This window comes from Homo sapiens, chromosome 2, assembly GCF_000001405.40.
Source record: "Homo sapiens chromosome 2, GRCh38.p14 Primary Assembly".
Classification (NCBI taxonomy): Eukaryota; Metazoa; Chordata; class Mammalia; order Primates; family Hominidae; genus Homo; species Homo sapiens.
Window position 1 is genome coordinate 104,826,903 of NC_000002.12, and position 24,314 is coordinate 104,851,216.

At 42.3% G+C, this 24,314-nt stretch overlaps 1 long non-coding RNA gene across 4 annotated transcripts in view, besides 2 other annotated features; it reads right to left on the bottom strand.

Annotated features, from left to right (window-relative positions):
• PANTR1 (POU3F3 adjacent non-coding transcript 1) overlaps nucleotides 1–24,314 on the bottom strand; it is a 47,759-nt gene that overhangs the window by 21,478 nt on the left and 1,967 nt on the right. The window lies entirely within an intron of this gene.
• Nucleotides 17,484–18,008: an enhancer, noted in NCBI's record as "H3K4me1 hESC enhancer chr2:105460844-105461368 (GRCh37/hg19 assembly coordinates)". NCBI's record gives its function as "activates a minimal SCP1, AML or CMV promoter by ChIP-STARR-seq in naive H9 embryonic stem cells {active_cell/tissue: H9 hESC(naive)}" and the evidence as "EXISTENCE:reporter gene assay evidence [ECO:0000049][PMID:30033119]".
• Nucleotides 21,626–24,178: an enhancer, noted in NCBI's record as "VISTA enhancer hs1553". NCBI's record gives its function as "enhancer in: neural tube[5/6] | midbrain (mesencephalon)[5/6] | forebrain[5/6]" and the evidence as "EXISTENCE:transgenic organism evidence [ECO:0001131][PMID:17130149]".

Below are 24,314 nucleotides of genomic sequence, written 5' to 3' on the forward strand. Positions count from 1 at the left end.
GGTTGCTGAGAATGTACTAAGCTCCCAGGTTCAGTTGGTGAGGCAGGACTCTCAAGCTAGATTTTCTTAGATGTGACCAAATCCTACCTTACAAAGAAAGAGCAAAATAAGCAAGTGAGGAAGAACAGATGACCTCTGCTTAGGAAGACAAGGCAAGACTGAGCAACTGTGGAAGAGAAATTCAGGATCAACTCCAATTAATAAGATAATGAAAACTGTATTAAAAAAAGTGTTGTTCATCAACATTGGTTCAAAATTTCCAGTAGCTTCCTATAGAAATCTCTATAGGAAGAGCACAAAGTACGATAGTCACAGAAGCAAAGAGAACAGGGAGACACTAGGGCGACATGGACAAAGGACAATCAGTAGAAACTTACGAAATAGGGAGAAGGGGACCGGGAGCGGTGGCTCACACCTGTAATCCTAGCACTTTGGGAGGCCGAGGAGGGCGGATTACAAGGTCAGGAGTTCAAGATCAGCCTGACCAACACGGTGAAACCCTGTCTCTACTAAAAATAATTAATTAATTTTAAAAAATTAGCTGGGCATGGGGCATGTGCCTTTAATCCCAGCTACTCTGCAGGCTAAGGCAGGAGAATTGCTTGAACCTCGGAAGTGGAGGTTTCAGTGAGCCAAGATAATGCCACTGCACTCCAGCCTGGGCGACAGAGCAAGACTCTGACTCGAAAAAAATAAAGAAAGAAAGAAATATGGAGAAGGAAAGTAGATGTGACGTTGAGAAGAAATTCCAGCAGTATCACTGGAAGGAAGGGAATCAAAGAGTGAAGCAAAGAAGAAAAAGCATGGAAATGGGAGATTAGTTTTAAATGCGAAGAGGGAAAAAGGACAAAAGGGAAGAAAATCCAAGGAGCAAAAAGCAATAAACCAAAACTGAGAGACTGGAAGGAGGCAACATTATTTCTGCAAAAAGTAAATAAATACTATCTCCTTAGAAAACAAGTTGAAATTGGCATCAGAGGCACCAGAAGAACCATCAAGGACCAGCTCATCTGACTCAGGTTACGAATGCTGATAAATTTATTAGCTACTTAAAAAAGTGTAACCAAAATAAAAGAAAGGAAAGCCTTTCATTATTCAAAACACATGTAGGTTTCTAAAACATATTTTTGTTGTAAGCCTCCAGATTTTTACTGAAGTCTTTTTCTCCATTTATTTTCCTACTTTATATTCCAAAAAAAGTTACATATTCATCTCAAATAATTACAAAAGATGTTCTGTGACATCTTTGCAAATGGCCTCACAAGAAATTTTTCATTTCGGGGGCTACGTCCATATTCCTTTACAGCAATCTTTGATTTTGATCTATCTACTCGAACGATCCAATTCATTTTTTAAAATTTAGAACTACTTAATTCGTTTACTGAGTTAACTGGTTCACCAACTTAACTGGAATTTATAGCTGAATATATCATTCATTTCAGTCCAAATGGGCCAGCCATTTAAGCATACAGACACATAATGTGCTTTCTTCAATATTAATTAATTTGCACTGCTTCCTCACAGCGGATTATTGGCAAAATGGCTTTTCTTAAGATCTGGATCTACAATATGAACATTCATTATTGCACTCACCAACCCATAAATTCCCAAAGTTAGAGGGATAATTTTGTAGCTCATGTATTTTCTTATGGAGAATTATACCTTTAAGAGAACATTTCCTGATCTCCTTCAGTAATTATTTCCATCAGCAAAATCTTCCTATTGATAATATGATGAAAACAGGAAATTTGAGACAGTGTATAGTACCCTTAGAACAACTAGTGAAAAAAAAGGAATTCTTCCTACAATTTAACATAACATTTTCCAGCCCCAAACAAAAATGCAGTTTACTGAAACTGTATTGGCTCATTTTTGTAATGTTGTGGGTCATATTTTCTAAATAGCATCTGTAGAAGAATCATTTAGAGTTCTAATCTCAGAGATTTTGCTAGAGAGGAGTAAGGTGACAGAACATTTAATTTTTTTTTTCATTCAGACTGGATGTTTCATATTTACTTCATATGTAGCAAAACTGCCCTGGAATTCACATAAATAATGAATTAATGAAATAACTCTCAAAGTTCATGAGACATAAGAAAGTATTCTCTGGGCATATCCCAGAGTAGAAATCTGAGTTTATGGCTCTCAATTCTCACCTATGCAAATACATAACCTCTCCAAAGTAAAGTTCCATCCCCAGTTCTGAATCATAATATTCAACCAAAAAAAAAATCACAATACACAAGTGGTATTTCCAAATTAAAATAATTTAGTTGTGGCCGGGCACGGTGGCTCACACCTGTAATCCCAGCACTTTGGGAGGCTGAGGCGGGTGGATCACGAGGTCAGGAGATCGAGACCATCCTGGCTAACATGGTGAAACACCGTCTCTACTAAAAATACAAAAAAAATTAGCCAAGCGTGGTGGCGGGCGCCTGTAGTCCCAGCTACTCGGGAGGCTGAGGCAGGAGAATGGCGTGAACCCAGGAGGCGGAGCTTGCAAGGAGCTGAGATCACGCCACTGCACTCCAGCCTGGGCGACGGAGCAAGACTCTGTCTCAAAAGATAAATAAACAAAATAAAATAAAATAATTTAGTGCAGCAGGGAATACCAGGGCCTTAGCAAAGGGACTTGGAAAATTTGAATAAGGTGCGTGGCAAAAGAGTGTGTCTGAGATCTTCTTTTGTTCGTTTATTTCTATATTACCTTCCATTTCATGGGATGTCTTATGATCTCCAGCTGTGGCACAGCAACACTGAGTCACGTGAAAGTAACAATAGTTTTGACTTATAAAGCAGTTTTTTCTAAGGAGCTTTTGATAAACTTATTTCATTTCTTCTCCCAAAGTCTTTATGCTGCTGAAGTCAAATGGTATTACCCTCGTTATATATGCATGTGGATAAAGAGATATATTGTTGACTGACAGGGTCATGGTTAAACCTAAGCCAGCTAACATTATTGATAGCATGCCATTCCACTTTATTATGGATGCTTTATCAATGATATGCTCAAAAAGCTTCCCAACCAAAGAACATTCCTAGGTAGAAAGCCGGAGTGTAGTTTACCCAACAACAGATGAGCTGCACACGTGTTGACTGCCAAACAGGAGAAACTCTGCTGGGGTGGCTGGAGAGAAACAAAGAGGAACAGGACCTAGAGCTCTCACGGGACAGGTCATTTCACATCTCTCCTAATGGAGACAAAATGGCATCAAAAGTCAGCATTCTTTTATTGCCTCTCCTACCAAAGATGAAAACACAGTATCATTAGCCAAATTTACTCTGAACTTCCACCTCCTCAGGTTGAGTCAATGTATCTTTCCATCAAGGTCAATAATGTAAGAGGCAGATTGGTAACTGAATTGCTTAAGGAAAAATTCAGGGCAGGATGTATTTCTGGTTTTGACAAGGCTTTGGATCATTAGAAATACGGTCCTTTAGGGAGAAGAAGGTACATACTGGCTGGGTGCGATGGCTCACGCCTGTAATCCCAGCACTTTGGGAGGCCGAAGCGGATGGATCACAAGGTCAAGAGATTGAGGCCATCCTGGCTAACATGGTGAAACCCTGTCTCTACTAAAAATACAAAAATTAGCTGCACGTGGAGGCATTCTCCTGCAGTCCCGGGAGGCTGAGGCAAGAGAATCCCTTGAACCTGGGAGGCATAGGTTGCAGTCAGCTGAGATCGTACCACTGCACTCCAGCCTGGTGACAGAGACAGACTCCATCTCAAAAAAAAAAAAGAAAAGAAAAGAAATAAAAAGAAAAAGGTACATATAAGCTCTGGGGTTTCTTTGTTTTGTTTTTTTGTGACAGTCTCACTCTGTCACCCAGTCTGGAGTACACTGGCACAATCTCATCTCACTGCAACCTCCGCCTCCCAGGTTCAAGTGATTCTCCTGATTCAGCCTCCTGAGTAGCTGGGACTACAGGCACGTGCCACCACACCCAGCTAATTTTTGTATTTTTAGTAGAGATCGGGTTTCACTATGTTGGCCAGGCTGGTCTCGAACTCCTGACCTCAGGTGATCCACTCGCCTTGGCCTCCCAAAGTGCTGGGATTACAGGCATAAGCCACCACACCCAGCCTCATATTAGCTCTTTATTCTGTTTCCTTCCTCACTGAAATTTGGTTTGTGATATTCCAATCCTTAGTCATATTTTTTATCATTGCAATTGGTCATGAAGTTTTGTCGTGTTAGAAATATGAATTGGTAATAAATAAATAGATTAGTAATTTAAAAACTCAGCATCCCCAGGCTCCCAAGGTTCATCAGTATAAATTATAAAATATGTGATTTAAGTTGGACTTCATAGAAAGTTCACGACTGCAAACATCTTAGCCCTATGGGACCCTTTCAGACCTTTCTTTCTGAAAAATAGTCTCTCTGGGGGTTTGAACTCAAAACGGTACCACCCCTTGTTATACTGAAAGAGTTTTGATAAATCTGCAATATAATTAGATATCTGGGGAAAGGGAAAAGGACAGAAAGGTGGGGTGGGACCCTGCCTCTGAAGTTAGAATCGAGTTTGTAGCATGCATGTGAAGTTAGTCCACACGCACAAGTACCACACAGACATGAAGGATTGTAAGGGTGAGAATCTTTTCAATTAATATCTCTCAAGTTAAGAATTTTTGCACAATAGATCATATCAGCATTGGAGGTTGGGTCTATATGGCACCCTAATAACTAAGGTGAAAAACTTAGAAAGCCTTCCAGATGTTGGAGCGACATCATGTCAAACATATGACAATGTAGAAGTATCTCATAGCCTGAGGCCTGCAGGGCCCACCAGAACAATATTCTACTTGTTAAAGGTGGATGCCTCCTGGCTGGCCACATTACCAAAGCCTGCTGAGGTGCTGACACTCCCAGTAGGATAACTGGAGATTCCCTGGCCACCTTTGCTATTCTTCATTTGCCCCTCTGAGGAACTCTCTCTAACCTCTGGGGTTGAAATATCAAGCTGAACCTTTTGGAATGTTCGTAAGCCTGGCATCTGTGCTCAGCAGTAGAGTCTCTGAATTCAAAACAGGACTGTTTCCTGGCTCAGAACTCCAGCTCCAAATTCCTCAGGCTCAGAACTGATGGGAAAACAGATCTTCAGCATTCTTCTGATTTAGAAATCATTCAGATAAGAAATTGACAGATAAGAAATTGACAAGGAGGTACAAAATCCTTAATTTACATAGCTGTCTCTTTTTTTCTTCTCCATGGTAAAGAACAGAGCATGCTTAACCTTGATTTTCTCACTTCTCTCAGTTTAAAGCACAGCCCATAACATTAATTAAAGTGTGTGTGAGATGGAGGGTAGAAGTTATATTTCATATGCCGTACCACATGGCATTCTAGAAGAGCTGTATGATTTTTAGGTGTGCTTTTTTTCCCAACTTGATACCTACGTAGTCCTACAACTATTCGGCATAACATCTCCCATACTCCACCGAGGACCTCCACAGTAACAATTTTAAAATAAATGCAGTCCCAAAGAACAACTGCTAAGGGCACTGGTGGGTTAAGGATTTAGGTAGATGAAGGTAAATTTCTGACTCAGAGCTCCAGAATACTAAAGCTGGGAATCACACTGAGATGGTCAGTTTTTAATACTGGTAATCCACTGAAGTTTAGAGATGAGGCTTACAGAAGGTAGGTGGCTTATGTACTTCAGGGTGAAACAACACATCAGGAGTAACCCCAGGTATTTCTTATAACTCCAAGTTTTAGGGCCATAAACCACTTTGAGATACTGATGTAAGTTAGATATTTTCCAGGAAAAAAAAGTCATATACACATATACATACAATGCTAGCATATAAACTCAGGGGGCTCATAGAACCCCTTAAACACCTTTGGATGTTTAAGGAGTCTCTGATCTCCAGGTTAAGAACTCTTGCACCTGAATAAGCAGCTTTTCTAAATATGAAGTGCTACTTTTAATCCCTTTGAAAACTTACCACCTTTAGCATATAAACTTAGATTTAATGAAGTAATCTATAAAATTCAAAGGAAAAGCAATTCCCACAACTCAAATAGATGATTTAATCCCTAATCAATATTTCCATATTTTTAACGTGTCAAGGAAAAAAATGTGCAAGAGAAATTTAAACCTACGTGTATTTTATCACCAATTTCACATATGGACATGGAATATCTTTTCTCCTAATATGGAGATGGCTCAGCAGTATTTAAATGATTCCTTATTCCAAGTCATATAAATATGCACCAGATGTATCTTTTGTAAATGTTATGTTTTTCAACTTCTCAGCATTTGCAAGTAGTTGAAAGCTATGTCAAGCATGCTTTAATGGGGCATAAAAGTGTATTGTATTCAAAGAGATGGCACAGCTCTGTAATAGGTGAAAATACAAATGTTGTCAATGTATACATTTTCATTTTATTGATTTACACTGCATAATGGAATGCCCTGTATTCTTCTTTACATGCAAGTTCTATAACAATTGAATATAACTAGATATAAAAAATCATGCTTACATTAATAGATTCTCTAGATGACAGAAAATTCAAAACACAGAATTTTATGACCAGAAGGCAACTTAAAGATCAACCAAATCCCACACCCTTATTTTACAGATGAGAAAACTGAAACCAAGAGGGTTATGGGAGGCCACCAAGTCACTAGGCTGGTTGTGGCAGAGGACACATGAATTTTTATACCCCTAAATATAAGGAACCTTTCTGAGATCTTTATATTATCTGCCTCTTGACTACCTAAACAAAAAATAGAGGAGGCAGTAAAACATATATCATTTATTGATTTCCTGGGATTTACTGGAAAGAAGCAGAACATGACCTACATTTTGCAAAGTATCAAAGTAAGTATAGAAAGTAAAATGCCAATTGCTAGCATTAAAGGTTGTCAAAGAATATCATAAAGCCCTTTCTCCAATGTAAAATTCCAACAGACTACAAGATTGGCTTTTTTATTGTGACTACAAAAGATGTAGCAAATTCCCCTATGAACATTTTTCTTCGGGGTTAAAGATATCAAAAATGTTTAGGAAATATTTTCAAGTAACATGTAATTGATAGCCCACCTTGAAAACAGTGTCTTTTTTCTTTTTTTAGATAGAAGTTAACATAGATTAATCGCTTATTGTTAAGCTTTTTTAAATTTTTTCTTTCTTCTTTTTTTTTTTTTTTGGAGTAAACAACACTTGATCTCATGTCATTTTCTGTGGCTTTGGAACATCTCTAAGCACTTAGGCCCTTACAGACATACAGTAATGGATGCTCACTTTACGCTGGCTCCCTTTTCCCAACTTCATTTCTTACCGACATGCATTTTTATAAACTGCCTCACATTCTTCCTTGGAATGAGGCAGAATATTAATTAATTAATTAGGTGAAAGTCATTTTCTAAAAGCCAAGTAACTTTTTCACCTCAACCTTTACGAATAACACTTTGCCCTTTGGGGTCCGGTGGCAGCAACGAATATTTCATTTAAAATAAAATCATTATTGAAGTTTTTTCAAACTTTATGTCACTGTTGCCATGAGTTGAGTACCCGTGTCTCAGAGTTCCCTAGCTGATTATATGTCCTCCTGGACCCAAAGCAAAAGCACAAATTTTTTCTCTTCCCAAGAACCAGCGTTCACATGTTCTGCTTGCTTTCTGGTCAACATGCAGAGCAGCAGTCACCAGAGTCCCAGATCTCCTTCAAGAGGCAGGGCCTGGCTCAGAGTCCGGCCTCCCTGATTGATGCTTGGTGTGCCTGAAACAGCTTCATTGTTTCTCCAACAATGCCAAAGCCAATGAGAACGTTTGGATGGTGGCCCTGCCTGTGTTCAGTGAGGCGTCCACACGGTCCCCTTCTAAGGTGTGCGTGAGCTGAACACAGTGACGAGCAAAAAACCAAACCAGCCTTCTGGGCTTTTCCCCCAGCACTGACTGGGTGTCCCTCACAGCCTTGAAACAGGGATAAGTTCCCGAGTCAATAGTCAACGTCGTGGTTAAAACATTGCTTCCGATTAATAGCTGTTTTCTTCCCCAGGGTGTTCATATACAGAGAAACAGACATACTCCTATACGTATATTTAGCACGAGAGAGTTTAAAGACACACACACATGCACGTTCTGAGTCCCCTCTCATAACACACCGTGCTTCATTGTAAATGGAGCATCCAAACCAAATTGTAATCATCATTTCACGTTACTATGTCCAGCCTTATTCTGTTCTCATCCTCATGAAGGGCTGGGAGATGTGGCAAAGAGTGCAGTCATGGGATGTGAAGAGGCCTTAGGAGCCTTGGCCATCTTTGTTTTCACCGGAGACGGGGTTGGGGAGAGGGCGGGGGATGCATTCACCAAATGTCACAGAACTGCTCTGCAAGCTAGCCCGGACTAGGCCCTAAAGGGGCAATGTTTGGGGGATTCCCAGTAAGGTAGAAAGCAGCAGGTCCAGAGTTTAAGAGACAAGACTCAAGTTCAAAACCTGGTGCCACCATCATGTGACCTTGGGCAGGTGACTCAGCCCCACAGGCCTCAGCGGTCTCATCAACCTAGATAGAAATGATCCTTCAGAGGGCTTTCAGGAGCTTAAATAGGGTAATATAAAACCTGAGGGGCATGTTTGAAGACCTGGTACATGGTAAGTCTTTAGTACAATTTTATCATTATTATTACTTTTGCCATCATCATTGTTGTTATGGAAATTCTCCTTTGAGTTACTACGCTTGGAAATGAGAAAAGATTTGCTTAGAAGAACTCACTTTTTCTCTTCTCCCTACGCTCACAGAGTGAGCACATGCTGCTGAATTCAGGTGGGCAATTCCCCCTCCATCCCATTCAGGGAAGTTCAAAATGGAAAACAGGAGAGAGTGCCCAGGGCCCAAGCTCTAACCCATTTGGAGTCCAGCCACCCGGGCCCCTCCATGGGTTTGGCGCCCTGCTGACAAATCTAGGCAGGGTGTGGGGGAGGTGGGGGGTATCAACAACATTTTCACAGGGAGCTGAGTGAAAATCTCCTGGGAAAATGCTCCCTCTGGTTCCCCTCCTGGTTTATTGTGAAGATAGTGGAATCACTTATGTTTCAGTTCCTGCTAAAGTGATGATAAAGAGTTTTCTGGTGGGGAAAGGGGTAGAATCAGTCCAATCTCATTCCTCTCCAGGGGGTAGCTTCGCATTCCACCCCTATTCTCCACAAAGAACACACCCATGCTGAAACTGATGGCCAGTGACCATGGTTAGTAATGCGGTTGTTTCTTTGAAATATCACCACCAACCCCACCAACTCAGTCCTTGTCTTCGCTAAGTCTTTCCAATGCCTGAAACCCGTTCCTTGCTTTCTCAACCCCCGTTGTACAAAACTGTAACATCCTTAAAGCATAAGGCTTGGCTCAGGAAATTTAAAAATAGAAAACAAATTTATCTTCAATGGTTAATGCACCTATCCCTTAAGAAAACAGATACAAAACTTTTTTTTTTTTCTCCTCTCCACAAAAACCAATTTGGCTGTTACCCAATGCCATTGACCTTCCTAAGACAGCAAGCTAAAATCAGTTCATTGGCACACTGGCCCTGCGCCCAGAGTGCAAGCAAATGTGCTACCAGGGGCCTGTGTGGAGCTCTCTCTGAGTAAGGAACTTTCCTTAACTTGCACAGCGGCTTCCCCCCTCCCACATAAGGAGCTGGAGCTGGGCCTGGTGGGCTGGTTATGTTTAATGTGCTTAACCGAGGAGGGAGCTCTGGAGGGACTGGGAAAAGGGAAAAAGATGGAGACCTGGTCACACCCAAGCTCTCTGAAGGGGTTTTCATGTAGCTGCAACTTATTTCTCCTTGTCCACTGATGTTACTACAAAAGTGTCCCATCACACCGGGTCTAAGAGCCTCACAAGTGGGACCTTTGCTTCTGAATAACGCATGGTTGTTCATGTGCCCAATTCACCAAAGTCAGTATTGGAAAAGAGCATTATTTTCAAGATGCTTTTATATTTATAATAAAGGGTATTTCTTAAGATCATATCACAACTGTTTTGGATGTCTTGTGTTTTTTTGTCTTGTTTTTTTTTTTTTTTCTTTAAAGACTCTGAGTTTTGAGCTAAGGGCAGTTAATAGTAGCCAGTCCTGATTGGCCAACATCTGTTTCTTTAGAGGAACCTTACTTGCCAAGTAGCTGGACAGCAATACTCATTTGGTATTCATGGGAAGTACTTGCCGAACAATAATGACAATAATTGCCTCTGATTCTTGTGTTTACAACACTGCCAAAGTATCATTAGGGCCTTATTTATAGATAATAATGCTTATTAATCACAAGTATTTGAATTTTGGAATGTATTAGATTAATATTCTTTTGTACCTCAGTTCTGTACTAATGCTGTGAAAAGACATTTACTGAATGCAACTCATTGGGAATGCTTATTTTGAGCTGCAAAATAATGTGTGTAATTTGCAGGTGAAAGATAAAGAAATTACATGGCTACCTCTCAACAGCCGCCATCAAGATCAACGGCCAACATGGAGAATTAGACCCTACCTCTAAAACGAGAAAGGAAAAAAGCAAAATAAATATCCCTATAGGTTTTTTTTTTTTTTAGAAAATCTTGTAAATACTTATGCCAAGAGAAATTCCTGATAATAAGTCTATTATTCTGTTTTGCCTTAAATCTTCCATGGATGGCATCGCTTTATTGAAAAGGGTCTGGGGTGAAGAATAATTAGTGATTCTGGAACAATTTCACACTGTATAAGTTTTTTAAGGCTCAATGAAAAAAAAATGGTACAGGATGACTAATAGTCGTAACCAGCAAAATACAATCTTAGGCCTAAATGCCTAGTTGTTTAACATTCTTTATTCACTTATTCACTAATATCTTTGTATATGTTTAATTTCTGTACAAACATTAAAGCTATTAAGTAGTTTTCTATTTTTATGTGCATCTAGAAATAGGAATCATTAAAAATTTCAAATAATTAGCACACTTTTTCTAAGGTTAATCTGGAAATACAGTTTCTGTTAATATAATAAAACAACTTTTTAAATAAATAAAAACTATTACTAACCCACAGGTTTCACTTAGCTACTCTCTCTCGAAATTATAGCAAAAATGAAATCAGCAACTTTTTTTAGTCTAGCACACATTTTTACTTATTCTTGGAATACTCATGCTTTATGTGTTAGAACAATACTTCAGATTATTTAATTAGATGAATATAAAATGAAGTGACATAATTTTCCAGAGATTTTCAAGAAAAGAAGAAAGTTTATTAATATAAAGTCTAGGTGCTCTTTCGAAAGTCATATTTGCAACTAGGTATATTTTTAAATGGCCTGTAATTATTGTTTACTATTGTTCTTTAGATTAAATCCAAATGATGTTCAATCTTATCTTGCTCTACCAAAAACTACTTTAAAATAGTCAACGGGCCTAATTACCACCTACAATTTTTAACCTTGTCCTTTCTTATTCTCTTTTGCCCGCCACAGAAAGTAAAGAGACTGCACCTTTCAAGCCACCAAATTACACTGAGAAAATTGTCCTCCCTAAAAAACTCTTGGAGATTTGTTCAGCAAATGTTTCCAAGTCAGAGCACACAAAGAGAATAAGATCCTAATTCAATAAATGTATAATGCTAACATTTTAATCCATTGCTAAATGTAAATAAACTTTAGTGATCCCAGTTGGACTATTTAACATTAATTTAAAGTATTTTATAATATAGCATTGTCTCCTCTCGTGGGGCAAAGTAGAAAGGTGAAAAATTACCTAATAACTTCTATCAATGTACTCAGCAAAACCTGGCAAGTCATGCCCCTCAACTCCCTTTGTTTAGATTTGGGGTAAATGTCTTAACCCATATAACGACCTCCACTGGAGGCCCATTCAGGTGTGCGCATCCATCTTTGTTAACACCGGTAGAATGAAAAGTCAAGCAACAGCTTATAGGATTAGTTGATATCTTACAAATTTAATCACAGATAGATAGCCAGTCCAAATTGTTCAAATTTCACTTTTTTTTTTTTTTTTTTAGCAGCTAGAAGGGAGAGCAACAACGCCTGGATTATCCAAGTGATTAATTCAATTCTCTATTTTGCCTTCAGTAGACATCGTCTGCCTCTCTTTTTAAAAGACACTGGTAGTTGCATGAGGAAAGGAAATAAATGTGTTTTAAGAGAGCACCAATATACCTCAGTACACTCGATGTGTGTCATTGATAATGTCTAACCACTGAGGCTGAGGACCTTCAATCCCCCTAGGGTGTCTCTCCAAGCCTTTCTAAATAGCCTTGTCCAACTGCTTACAGACTTGGAGATGGGGGGAAGGAAAGAAAGAGGCGAAGGAGGGAGGGAGAGACATGGAGAGAAAGAAAGAACGAGAGAAAGAGAAAGAAAGAGAGAAAGAAAAAGAAAATGGTTAGTCATGAAGCTGGAGTTTAAATTTGAGGGTATTGAAAAAAATAATTAACTACAAAAAATGGTTTGACAGAATAACTTATACTCCACCAATATCCCAGCAGTTTTCTAAGAGCCTAGTTGGATATGAAACTTGAGATCTGTCAACATTTTATAGTTGCCCTGATTTAATAAGCATTTTTCCTTCTTTTCTCTAACTGCCAAATTTTTTAATGAAATTGAATCTTGGATGCCTACATTCTGGGGAGTTTTATTTGCTATATTATAGTTCTGTCTGCTTTTAGGCCACAGAATGCCAAAGTATTTATTCTTACAAATCTTTCTACATATGTAATTTGAGTCTACTAAAATAGTCCTTTACCCACTTCATTAATTAAGTTGACAGAAAAGATTATTTTACAATTTTGTAGCAAATGACTCTTCATCCAAATTTTTGAATCAACGTTGTGCATTTTTATGTTATTTTATAGCCTATGCCTCCTCAAATCACTTCACGCCATCAGATATAAAACTTTCTAACATAAAAGACTAACTTTTGCAGTTGATCTGAAACCTCAACTAGAGTAGAATATTTTTACCTTTTTCCAAGTAATAGTTCTTGGTTTTTGTTTTTTTTTTTTTAATTTTCACTTGCGGTATTTCTATCAATTTAACCTCAAACTTTTTAGGAGATTAAGAAACAAACCTCAAAAAGTAGTTAGGCTAAGCTGATTTCTATTTTCACAAGTTCATCACTAATATTTAGACACCACCAATGAGTCACTAGTCTTTTAAATACTCTGAAATCAACAAGCAATAAATCAAATGTAGGAATAAATGTCATCATAAACATCATATATGTTTTTTGTAAAGAAATATACATTTACATAAACGTGAATAAACAAACAAAATATTTTACAATTCAGTACAAATAACTCTCATTACATGAGAGAGCTCCTTTTATCATGGTCTTGCATAAAACTTCAAAATTTCATCATTTTGATTCCTTTATCAACTAGGACAAATAACACTTAAAGTATAAAATTCTGGTAGATCATTTCTTTCCATTTTCTTAACACAAATGAGCATCTGGACTCTTGCCAATGAATGCCAATGTATTCATTTTAACTGTAGTTCTTATTTTAACCAGAAAAGGCCTCTGAAAATCCAAAGATTCAAAATACCATTTCAAGGAAGCAAATAAGTAACATGGCATCCCATATTATACAAATCAAATATAATATAGGCCTCAAATTCGCTTTTACATTTTGAATTATCACTAGATTACTGAATGTCTTTTAATGCATATAGAGGACCATACGATCAACTAGTTAAAAATGTTTTCTTTACAATAGAGTAGAAAATAAAACTGCTGATCTCTTTCATTGCCTCTAAAATTTAATTTTTGTTCTAAGACAACAGTATGTAATGTGTGAAAAAAAAAGACAAAAAATAGGTACTCAGCTTTAGATGGAATGTTTATATTTTAAATATGCTGTCCATTTTATTTTTTGTAAAACGAGTTATTTAAGTTCATATTTTAGAGGGAGTGTGTATAAAATATTAATACTACGAACCTATTATTTACTGATTTCTGTGGTGCCATCTACAGTTAGCACAATTCAGATTTCAAAACAAATTTTGAATTTTTTTCAATATGAATAAAATTCACTCACTTCTTATTTTAAGACTATCTGTTATAGAACGTATTGTTAATCATAGAAGTTTGCTATATTACACATGGGCATGTTATATGCAAATGTATTCAGTTGGGGTATGTATATATTTTGTTATGTTATGTACATAAACATCTACCCTTGTGCATATGTATATTTACATCATGTATAAATATGTGTAGTATATTACCAAACTGTACTATACTTAAGGAGGAGGAGGAGCTTCCAAGGATTGCCATACAATATTTTAGTTAACTGAGTACTGTTTCCTGTGAAAGTAATTAGGTTGTTTTTTGTTTTTTGCTTTTCACAGTCCCAAAGGTGGGTGTTTACAGACCTGGTTTAGTAATTCGCTGTTTTCCAAAAGGCTAGTTTTAAAATTTTATGTCAACATATGCTTTAAATAAATAAAAGTGATCCCTTCCTCTTCACCTTTCCCTTCTTTTAGGAAGGCCTATGGGCAAACAGCTTGATAAATAATTCAAAGAAAAGCTAAACCTTGATTCTAAAAACAAAAGCTCATCAAGTTAAACACCCACATTTTACCATTAACATTCTTTGTTAAAATTTACCTGCCTATAAATTATCTTTTGAAAAACAGTGATTGAAAGTGTGTCAAGACACTAGCTGGGGAGGGCCTTTGGCAGAAGCTAGTGAGTGTGTCTAAATGTTACTTAGAACCTTTCTCTAGGACAACAGGTCCTATAAAGAATTATGGCTAACAGTAAAACCATCCAATATTAATAAATCCAAGACAGAAAAAATGTATATAACAGGTATTTCCAAATTCGTGAAAATCATTAGATGCAAACAGTAGGGTAACAAGGGGAAAACTAAAAGCGTGTGCTCCTTTTCTTCTTAGAATCCCTCTGAATCTCAGGTTATCAAAAATACATTTTGGCAACTGGGTTCATGGTCTCAGTGAAGGAGAGGAATGTTTAACCTTTCTCTGAATTTTTCTGTCCTGTTTCCCCTTGAGAGTAGAACAAACTTGGTGGGACCAGGGAGGGAGGGAGGCCCTGGTTAATGTTTTAAGAAGGAGGAATTTAATTTGGCCCAAGTTTTCTTCTGCTAGTTGCCTTTTCTCTTATAAAGAGATCCTTGACAGCCCTTGTTTTGTATGAAATTATGGAAATCACAGACTGGGAAAGGGGAGTCATTATTTCAGAATTGAAAAGGTATGAGTGTCTTTACTCGAACCCCCTCCCCCCAAATTTCCCATCACTGGAAAGAAGCCAGTAAGTTGGAAAGGTGCCTAGGAGGGCTACAACTGGTCAGGTAAATAAAGAGAAGCCCCAAAAGTGATTTGCAATTGGTTCCTACCTCCCTCCTATCCCTCCAAAACTAAAAACAGCCACTGCGCAGCAATTTTTAAGGCCAAGACAGAGAGAAAGCAGATACCCAAGTCCCCAAACGCGGCTTCCTGGTGCGTGAAATCCAGCCTAACGAGCAGGCTGGATGATGGACATGCCCTCGGCTAACACTGTCCCTTTCAGCCTGGCTCACGTGGGTCAGGGTGTCCATGAAAATCCCCGGACCACGAGGGGGATCTCTTTGGGAATCAGATTGGGAAGACTCAGGCGAAAGAGGGAGATGCCCGTGTAGAGAACCGAGGAGGGGGGCTGGGGTAGAATAATCAGCTCTAAGGTTGCAGATTTAGATCTCAAGGCTGAAAAGGATAAGCTTCCACCAGAGCATCCTGTAGCGCCTCCTGTCCTGCCCTGCCCTGCCCTGCGCGCGCACCGCACTCACACGTACACCCGGTCCTCGCACGCGCACACACGCACACTGTTCCCCGCCGCTCTACCCTCTAGACTGCAAGGGAAACGGCTCCTCTGGGGCGCGCTCACCGGAGGTGAGGCGACCCAGCCCGGCCCAGGCCAGCCTGGTACCCAGCGCTGGTCGCTGCCCCTGTGGGGAGGCAGCGCGGCCTTCGGGGCTCCAGAGCGCGCGGGCCCGGAACGAGGCGCGCGGCCGCTGGCACATGCGGGGACTGCCCAGCGCGGACTGGAGAAGGGGAGCGAAGGGGTGGGGAGGGGGTGACGCCGGCTGCCCACCCCGCTCCGCGCCTCCCTCTGTGGCCCTCTCTCCCTTCTTCCCCTCCCACCCTGCCGCTCCCAGCCGCGTATGGAACTCGCGTTTGGAAAAGGCACGGAGCAGGCGGGCAGCTGTGCGTGTGCGCGCCGGTGGCCTCGGACGCAGCCAGCGCGAGGACCTCGGCGCGGCGGTAGCGCCCCGGCGGGCCCTCCAAGTGCCGGCCTGCAGGGGGCGCCGGCGCGCTCGCGCCCCGCGGGTTCTCCACCGCCCCGCCTTCGCCCACCGAGGAAGGGTCGGAGGGAGGACCCGGACGGGAGCAGGTTCCCTTCGCGCCTCTCTGGAGGGTCGGCGGGGCCCTCAGGCTGGTGCTCACCCGTAGGACCGGGACGGTGTTGTCACACTTGTCACCAACGACGGCCGGCGTGGCGTCGCAAGTCCGCTTTCCAGTCTCAGCGGCTGGAGGAGGCCTCGGGGCGGCAGGGGGAGTTTGCCTCCCGGCTGGCTAGCTTCGCTAGACTCAGTCATTACTAAGGGGTTGGGAGGGGGAGCTTGTCTCTTCTCTCCTGGCAGAGCCGCGGGAGGCGTCGGAAAGTTTCCTACCACTTGAGGGACGAAGGTGGATGGATCGAGAGCCTTGTTTCCCTGCTGGGATGGCCGAATGTACCAGAAGTCTCGCTGGCGAGCAGCGCCCTCGGCTTCCCCGGCAATCATCCCAAACGCACACCCTTCCCCTGGCCGAAGGAACCCCAGGTTGCCTAGGAAACGGCCCCGCGGACCTGGCGGGCCCTAGGGTGGAGACCCGGGCGGGGTTGGGGGGTACTCGCGAATCTGCTGCGGGCGCAGCGTTGGGGTGTCTGGTCCCTGCCCAGCCGGTAGGCCGCGTCCGCCGTCCCACTCAGTGGGGCTTTGCGCCCCCACCCATGGGAGTTGCCCGTTCCGCAGCAGAGTTCGAAGGGGAAAGTGGGGGCCACGTTCCCAGAGGAACAGAGTTCCAGACCTCTCAGGGCACTGATGGGGACTCCGTCGGACCCACGGGTTCCGCAAACACTCCAGAGGGGTTCCCAGGGCCGAAGATGCCTCCTGAGCAGACCTGAGCTTGTGAAACTCCGAATGGGTGTCCAGCTTCCTTTCTCACTTCAGAAGTTCAGCTGAGCTTCGTGTAGTGTCTGTCCCCCACCCTGACCTGGACCCACCAGCCAAGCCGAGGCCAGAGGTGTGCGGATTTTTTTTAAGACCCACATCTTGTAAATGTGAGATTTTTATCAGTCAGCACAGATGACTTAAAGCGTTCCATTTCTCCGCGATCCAATTTTATTAGGATTTACTCTCATTTGTGCTCCGCTTCTCTGGGGAAATAATGCTTTGATTAATGTAATCCTGGCCCGGGATCCGCCACATGCCCCTCGACCCTCTCCCAAGAGAAGGACCCTATTTGACAAACAATAACAGAGCAGTAACTCTTGCAATCTGCCCACACCTTTGGGGGTGGCTGGGGAGAGGGTGATACACGTTCACACACCGCTTGCTAAATGCAGTGGCGAGAGGAGGGAGCAGCGTCTACATGAAGCGAACTTTTCAAGCGCAGAGCCCTGACTCCCAGGCGCGGGGGCTCACCGGGAGGGGCCCGGGCGAGAGAGCGCGTGGGTGCGTGAGTGCCTGTGTGCGCCCGCCCTTTGCTTGCTCGGGGTGTCCGCCTTTGTCCCCCGCCGCGGGCCTCCACGGTGGGATCTGCGCGCGGCCGGTGGGCAGCCCTCGACCCGGGGCGCGTCCACAGCGCCCACCCGCGGCCCCCAAACACCTCGAGAGCAGATCTTAGGGGTTAACCAGGCACCGACCTGAGGCGCCCTGCAGCTGCCAAAAGCTCGACCGGAAACCTAGAACATGGGACCCAATTCATCGGTTTTCCTCGTCCATACATGCATCCATCCATCCCTGCATGCGTACATGCATGCAATACAAATCCCGGGACGCCGGCACGGAGAGCTGCGCCTCGCCCTTGCTGCGGGCTGAGAGCGGGTACCCCCCCTTCCAGCTCTTCCTCCTCCCGCGCAGCCGCGGCCCCCTCCCCGAAGGAAGAACAGCTCAATTACGAAGAGGAGCCAAGGAACGAAATCCCAGGCTCAGAGGCGCCCGCCGTTGCTCCTCTGTTCCCGGTCCCTGTAGTGCAGTCCCCACCCCCACCGTCCCCAGCTCGGGGAGGGCGGGGACGCGGCGGTGCGAGGGGTCCTGCCCTGCTCCGCCGGAACAAAGCCCGCCGCAGGAGCCCGCGGCCGCGCACCGAATCAGTGACAAAGGCAAGCGGGCGGCGCCGAGCTCCAAGCCGGCGCTCCTACGGCTTGGCGGGAAGGAGGCCCAGAAGATGGGGTGCGATTTGCACCCGGATTTTCCTGGGCTGCAGCATCTCGCTCCTGTGTACCCAATGACCTGTTAGGGTGACTCAGCGTTTATCTCTTCGCCTCCCTGCTGCCCCATCTCCTCTCTTGTCCTCTTCTGTCCCCAGTCTCCTTCACCGCTCCCTGCATGTTTTAATCCACCTCACTCCTTGTACCTTACCCGCTTCTCACTTTGCCCTATTTACCTCTTTCCCTTTTTCTTTCCCATAGAAAAGCAATGCTAATTCGACTTCTGAAGGCCGCTCTAGATGTTCAAATAACAGTCTGAAAGACCTTGCTGGGCAGTGCTCAGAGAGAAAAGGGGAGTAATGGGATCCTTTTAATTTTATTATGCAAACTGTGCCCTAAATAAAATAAAACGCCGTTAGAATGCGATCTAAGGAAGCCGAGCTTAGCCCTGGGGCCCCCAAAATGGCCGGAGATTCGGGAGAAGTCGCTTCTCGTGCCCACAAATCACAGGAATGTTGGGGGTGGGGGTGAGAGGAGGACCTCGCCGCTGTGGAATGGGGACCTCAGCGCTGGAGACTCCAAAGCAAACCTTTCTGGGAAAAGTTCTCATCTTACTTTCTAACCCAGAAAAGGAATTGCTTGCCAGACCCCTCCAATATAATCATAGTATTTTCGAATTTAGGATACTTTAACAGTTAGTGTTTTTCCAAGTGAAGTTTTACTTGTTTGTTTTTGTGATGTGAATTAAAAATGAAGGGAACGCAGCCATTTGAACAATATATGCCTGGACTTCTAGAGGCTCTTTGCACCCTGATTTAATACTAAATTAACATTTGACGTGTATTAAATGGCACTGTAAGCCTGAGCTCCTTCCCTTGGGCTTCACTGAGTAGCCAGGCTCCCTACCGAAATTTTGGGGAGAGAGGTGAGCGTTCAAAGCAACATCAGACAAGTAACTTTTAACTTGAGACTAACAAACTCCAAGCTGCCTGAAGCTACAGTGAGCAAGGTCACTTAGCTCCACCACCAAAGTGTCTGACCAGATACGTTTGTGCTGAAAGTGTATCACTGCAAACCATGGTATTTGTAGTATCAAATATCAACGAATACATTCGGCACCGTATTTTGAAAGTGAACAACAATAAACACACTTTCTTGAAAACACCCCTGAGGCTGGCCATCCAGGGCAGGCACTGGGGTGTCTCAGGGCCGGGGGCGCGGGGGGAAAGAGCGATATAGTGAACTGGGTGTTTCAGCATTCACTGGAGAGAAGAGACCACAGAAGCACAGTTTGAGGGGAATGCCGAAAAGAGCAGCCGTCAGCCTGACGTGCTGCATCTGCACCCAGCTTCTCAGACAATAGCTAAGTTCAAATGTCAAAAAAAAATCTAATAATAATAATAATAAAAACAGAGGTGCCAAACTGCAAGAATTGTTTTCTGGGATGTATGCCACATGAATCTCTTTTCCACCTCCAGACTACCCTGTTCCGACCCAGAAAGGCGATGCTGTATAATAACGTATGAGGAATGTTTGGCGTAAGGAGTGTCCTCAAGACTGAGAGAGCTGTTTGTTCAGTTCTGTTAGGACCACCACAACCTCAAAGAATCAAACCATTTTTCTGATAAAGCTGAATTAATATTTCTGGGCGTTGTTTTTACACACATACAAATACACACAAAACCCACCAAGCTGACCTTGGAATATTTTTCTAGCTAAGAAATGACCAAATTTTGTCAATGAATCATCATCATCATCATCATCATCATCATCATCTCTGGTCAATCAGCCTGGCTCTATGTTACCTAGCCCTGTGAATTTAAATTTGAAAAAGAGCATTGCACTCAGTGGGGAGGCAGGGAGTGTGGTGAGGGGGCAGGCAGGAACAGTCCATCACACTGTGACAGCTCCAGCTTCCCTGGCAATTGGTAGCTTTCATTACCAGACTTGTCAGGTGCACGCCTGCATGCAGCTCGAATGGGCAAACTGTTGGAAATGGGTTGTTTTAAAAGCATTCACTGGATTACCAACTTACTGTGCTTTCTTAGTTTATTTCCCATAATCTGAAATGCCCTGTAGTTTAAAGCTGTCCTATAAGTATCAGAAAGAAAGCTTCTTGCTTTCGGGTGAGAAATCATAATGTCTTTGAATGTATTACTCTTTGAAACCATCTAAAAACCTACGTACTTGCTCCTTTCCTGCAGATCAGACAAATCAGTTATCAAAATGATACAAAGAATTAGGGGAAGAAACACTTCAAAAAACTTAGGAAGACCAAGAAACAACTCATCCACTGCCAAGACGACAAATACTTTTCTCCACCCAAAAGCTACCGTGGAAGAGCTGTCCCCTTTGTATATAACACAGAGTATGGGTTGAGAGTATGCTTAACATTTTAATTTGTAAATGCTAATGGCAAATGTGCTTCTGAACTGCAGCGATACCAGAGCACCTTATCATTCTCAAATGGAAACAAATGAGTAAATACCCACTTTGTGTTTTGTACTTTTGACCCAGGTAATGTTCTTCATTCTCTCATTTGGCAAAAGCAATTTCGCCATCCCCAACAATTAAAAGTCTGTAGCTTTGCCCAGCACTTTGAATCTTAATTCATACCCAGCTTGATCGCTTCCACCCCCAAATCATTATAAAATGCTACTAAAGCCATCTCTATAATATGTCAGTTCTTGTCAAATTAACTTGTTGCTCTACCCAGATTTCTTATTTTCTGTTTCTTTTACATTAAGGAACCTAGGACTATAGATATCATGAGGGGCAAGCATTTTATCTTTTCTGTTTATTGTTTAATTACCTTTTCAAAAAAAGAAAAGTAGCAGCAAGACAGTAACAATCACAGATCTTATGAAAAGTGGCACACAAAAATTATGCTCTAAATATATATAATGATTGCCTCACCAATGTTTTTTGCAGAATGTCAGGCTGATTTGAAAAGTTTCCTTTCTCCTTAATAATTTTTAAATGCATTCAGCAGCCCTGGGCATGCAAAGTAAGCTAGAGCTTTAAGACATTTGCCCACTTCATGTGGATCTGCCCCAGAAGTCTTTTGTCTGAAATGTCCCAAAAGCCAAAGAGAAAGCAATGTTTGGGCTCAAGTTACAATTTTCTCAATTCTCCCTGTTTTATTAGTGCGAACCTGAGAGTACCTTTCCTGACTCTAAATGTGAGAGCTTGGGGTGAAAATCACAGATTAAAATGTGTTTGAGTGTGCCCCTTTTGCTTATACTGTTCCCAGAATCTCTTGACCCTCCTAGAAAACACACCACTTAAATCCAAACTCTGACTTACTAAAGTTAGTGTCAAAGAAAAACTTCTCCTCATTGGAACCTGGTTGACTTGGAGCTGGGTTAGAAAGAATAAGGTGTCTTTTCCTCTCTTGCACAGGAACATGAGAGCGATCACGTAATGTGGCCCTTACTAACAGGCTCTGTGACACATTCACAGGTGTGTTCGGCTACTGAACCATGGAAGCCAGCTTCTCACTTCCAGTCACTCCGGGCTTCCCTTTACTAGTCACACTCTCTGAATCTCCTTGGGAAAATTCTTAATGACAAACTGACTAATTCTGAACCAGTCAGGATCTACCCTTCACTGCTTTAGGAAGTTTTCCACATATCTTTTTCGTCCTTTACCACAATAAAGTTTAGTCTTCATTGGCAGTATGTATATATCTTTGAGGCAGAAACCTTGTGGCTCTACTGAAACTTTTCTTCAACTGGGTTAAGTAATGCACTAAAAAGTTTCAAGCCCACAGTTATCTCTAACCCGTGGCTATTTTGTATTTTCTTTTCTCTGCCAAGCCTTTCAAGGATAAATCCAAAATCTTTCTAAAATCATAAGTGGTAACAAGAATGAAAGTAGCCACTAAATATCAAATGGAGTAAAAGTGATCCTGGGCCAGCGGACTAAATCTCTAGGACCCAGAGATGCATTTAGAAGTCAAAGCATGTATCAGGTTGAAGAACTTTCATTATTTAAACAGATCATACCCTAGGATGCATTTCATTTTCTTGACTGTTAAAACAACAACAACAAAAAACCCTGAAAGGTAGCTTCTTAAGTAGCCTATTAAATCCCCTTAGTAATAATTTTCAAAAACTATTCTTGCTTTCACATCTCATTTCTGTTTTCCAGCCCAGAATACACTTCACTGAAATGGAGGAATAGTTTTTGAACTATATTTCTTTCTGGGCCATTTCACAGACATGGGCGGGTGGGGGATGGGGAAGTCATTGTCTTCATATTTTAAAACCCTGTGTTATGCAATGAATTCACTCCTCGTTGTGAATATGCATAGAAAGGTAGCGGTATTTGTTCCTTTGGCAAGTTTGGAAGAGCAGATTTGCTTTTGAAACAGCTACATTTTACTCAGCACTCGCTAAGACGAGTCAGTGCGCCCCCTGCTGACAAGTCAATAATGCTACTCCTGAGCAAAGTTTATTTTGTTCAGTAAACCGTGTCATATAAAATTAACAACAGCCAATAAAATTAGCTTATATGTTTCAACTGTAAAAGTCCAAAACAAAATAAAGCTAGTTTTAGTGGCACTAGAAATCTCTAGTTTGGCTTCTTCTCTTTGGCTGAACCAAGGTCCTTTTATCTAAAGCCCAGTGCACAAACATATAGCTTAATGTGACTAGTGTTCTTCCTTTTATTTCTTTCTCTATGGCAACCAATATGCTCTGCTCAGAAATGTTCCCCATCAAGGAAACAAATGATCTTCAGGGAGCAGCTCTATATGGCATCTGGTCCAATGGAGCACACAGAGTTAACCCCAGTCAAAAGCAACGCTGCCAAGCACGTAAACAAGGAGTGGAAAACTGGCGATTCTGAGCCCCCTCCCCAACTGAAACCTCTTCCTCCCTCGTTACAAACCGTTTCATTGATTTGGCATCAACTGTTTCCAAATAAATTACCAATTCTAAATTGCAAGGTGTTCTGTGTAAAAAAGTGCAATAAAATTCCAGCCATTGGATTCTCCCCCCTCATCATCACAGACGCAGCTTCCCTTAAAAGAACAAAACCAAGAAGCTTTTAAAATTTTCTCCGGCCTATTTCACTAAGGTAAGGCACTCAAATGGGCCTGGACTTGGCCTAGCTATGTCCTCCGGCCATGTTTATCTAATTAACTGCACCTAGCAATAACTGCACCCTCAATTTTTACAAAACCCAGGAACAGTGGCAAGGAGGGGACAAGTGAGGCTGTCAAAAATAGAAAACAAAGTGAAATCCAGTCTGCGATGCTAAAGCTCCAGCCTCCTTTGGGAATGAAGTGTAGGGATGTCCTGGTTAGTTTTGATTGATCACCCTCTTTCTGATGGGCTTTCACTACCGAGCTGGGAGGCTGCAGCTCCCCGCCTGCTCCCCAGACACAGCATTAACCAGGGGTGCCCTGACTTCCTGCCTCGCTTCCTCCTCCTCCAGCTCTCCGCCTTCCCTTTGCCAAGTCCCCCTCCTCACTCCATCCTCCTGCTCCCAGCATGCGTCCCCCCACCCCAATCCAGGCAGGCACACACAATTCAGGACATCACCACTGGCTACAGAAATAGGGTTTCTTCCCCTCTAGTCCTGATTCTCTGGGAAAAATAAAAAATCCCAATCAAGAAATATTTATATACTGCATGCTTAATAATCACTTCTTTTCCAGGGCTTCTTCCCCCTCCTCCCACCCCACCTTCACGATCAACAATTACAATGAATAGCATTTTCCCCCCACCCCTCCAAAGTAAAGTGGCTTTTGCTGTGTGGGGCTTTGGACTGAGTCCATCTTTTTATGTAATATTTTAGCAGGGTTGGATTTTTTTAACTCCCCCCCAACACATCTTCCCTTCCTTCCTTCCTTCAGACAGTTGCTCTGTGAACCCTCTCTTGTCCCAAGCAATGAAA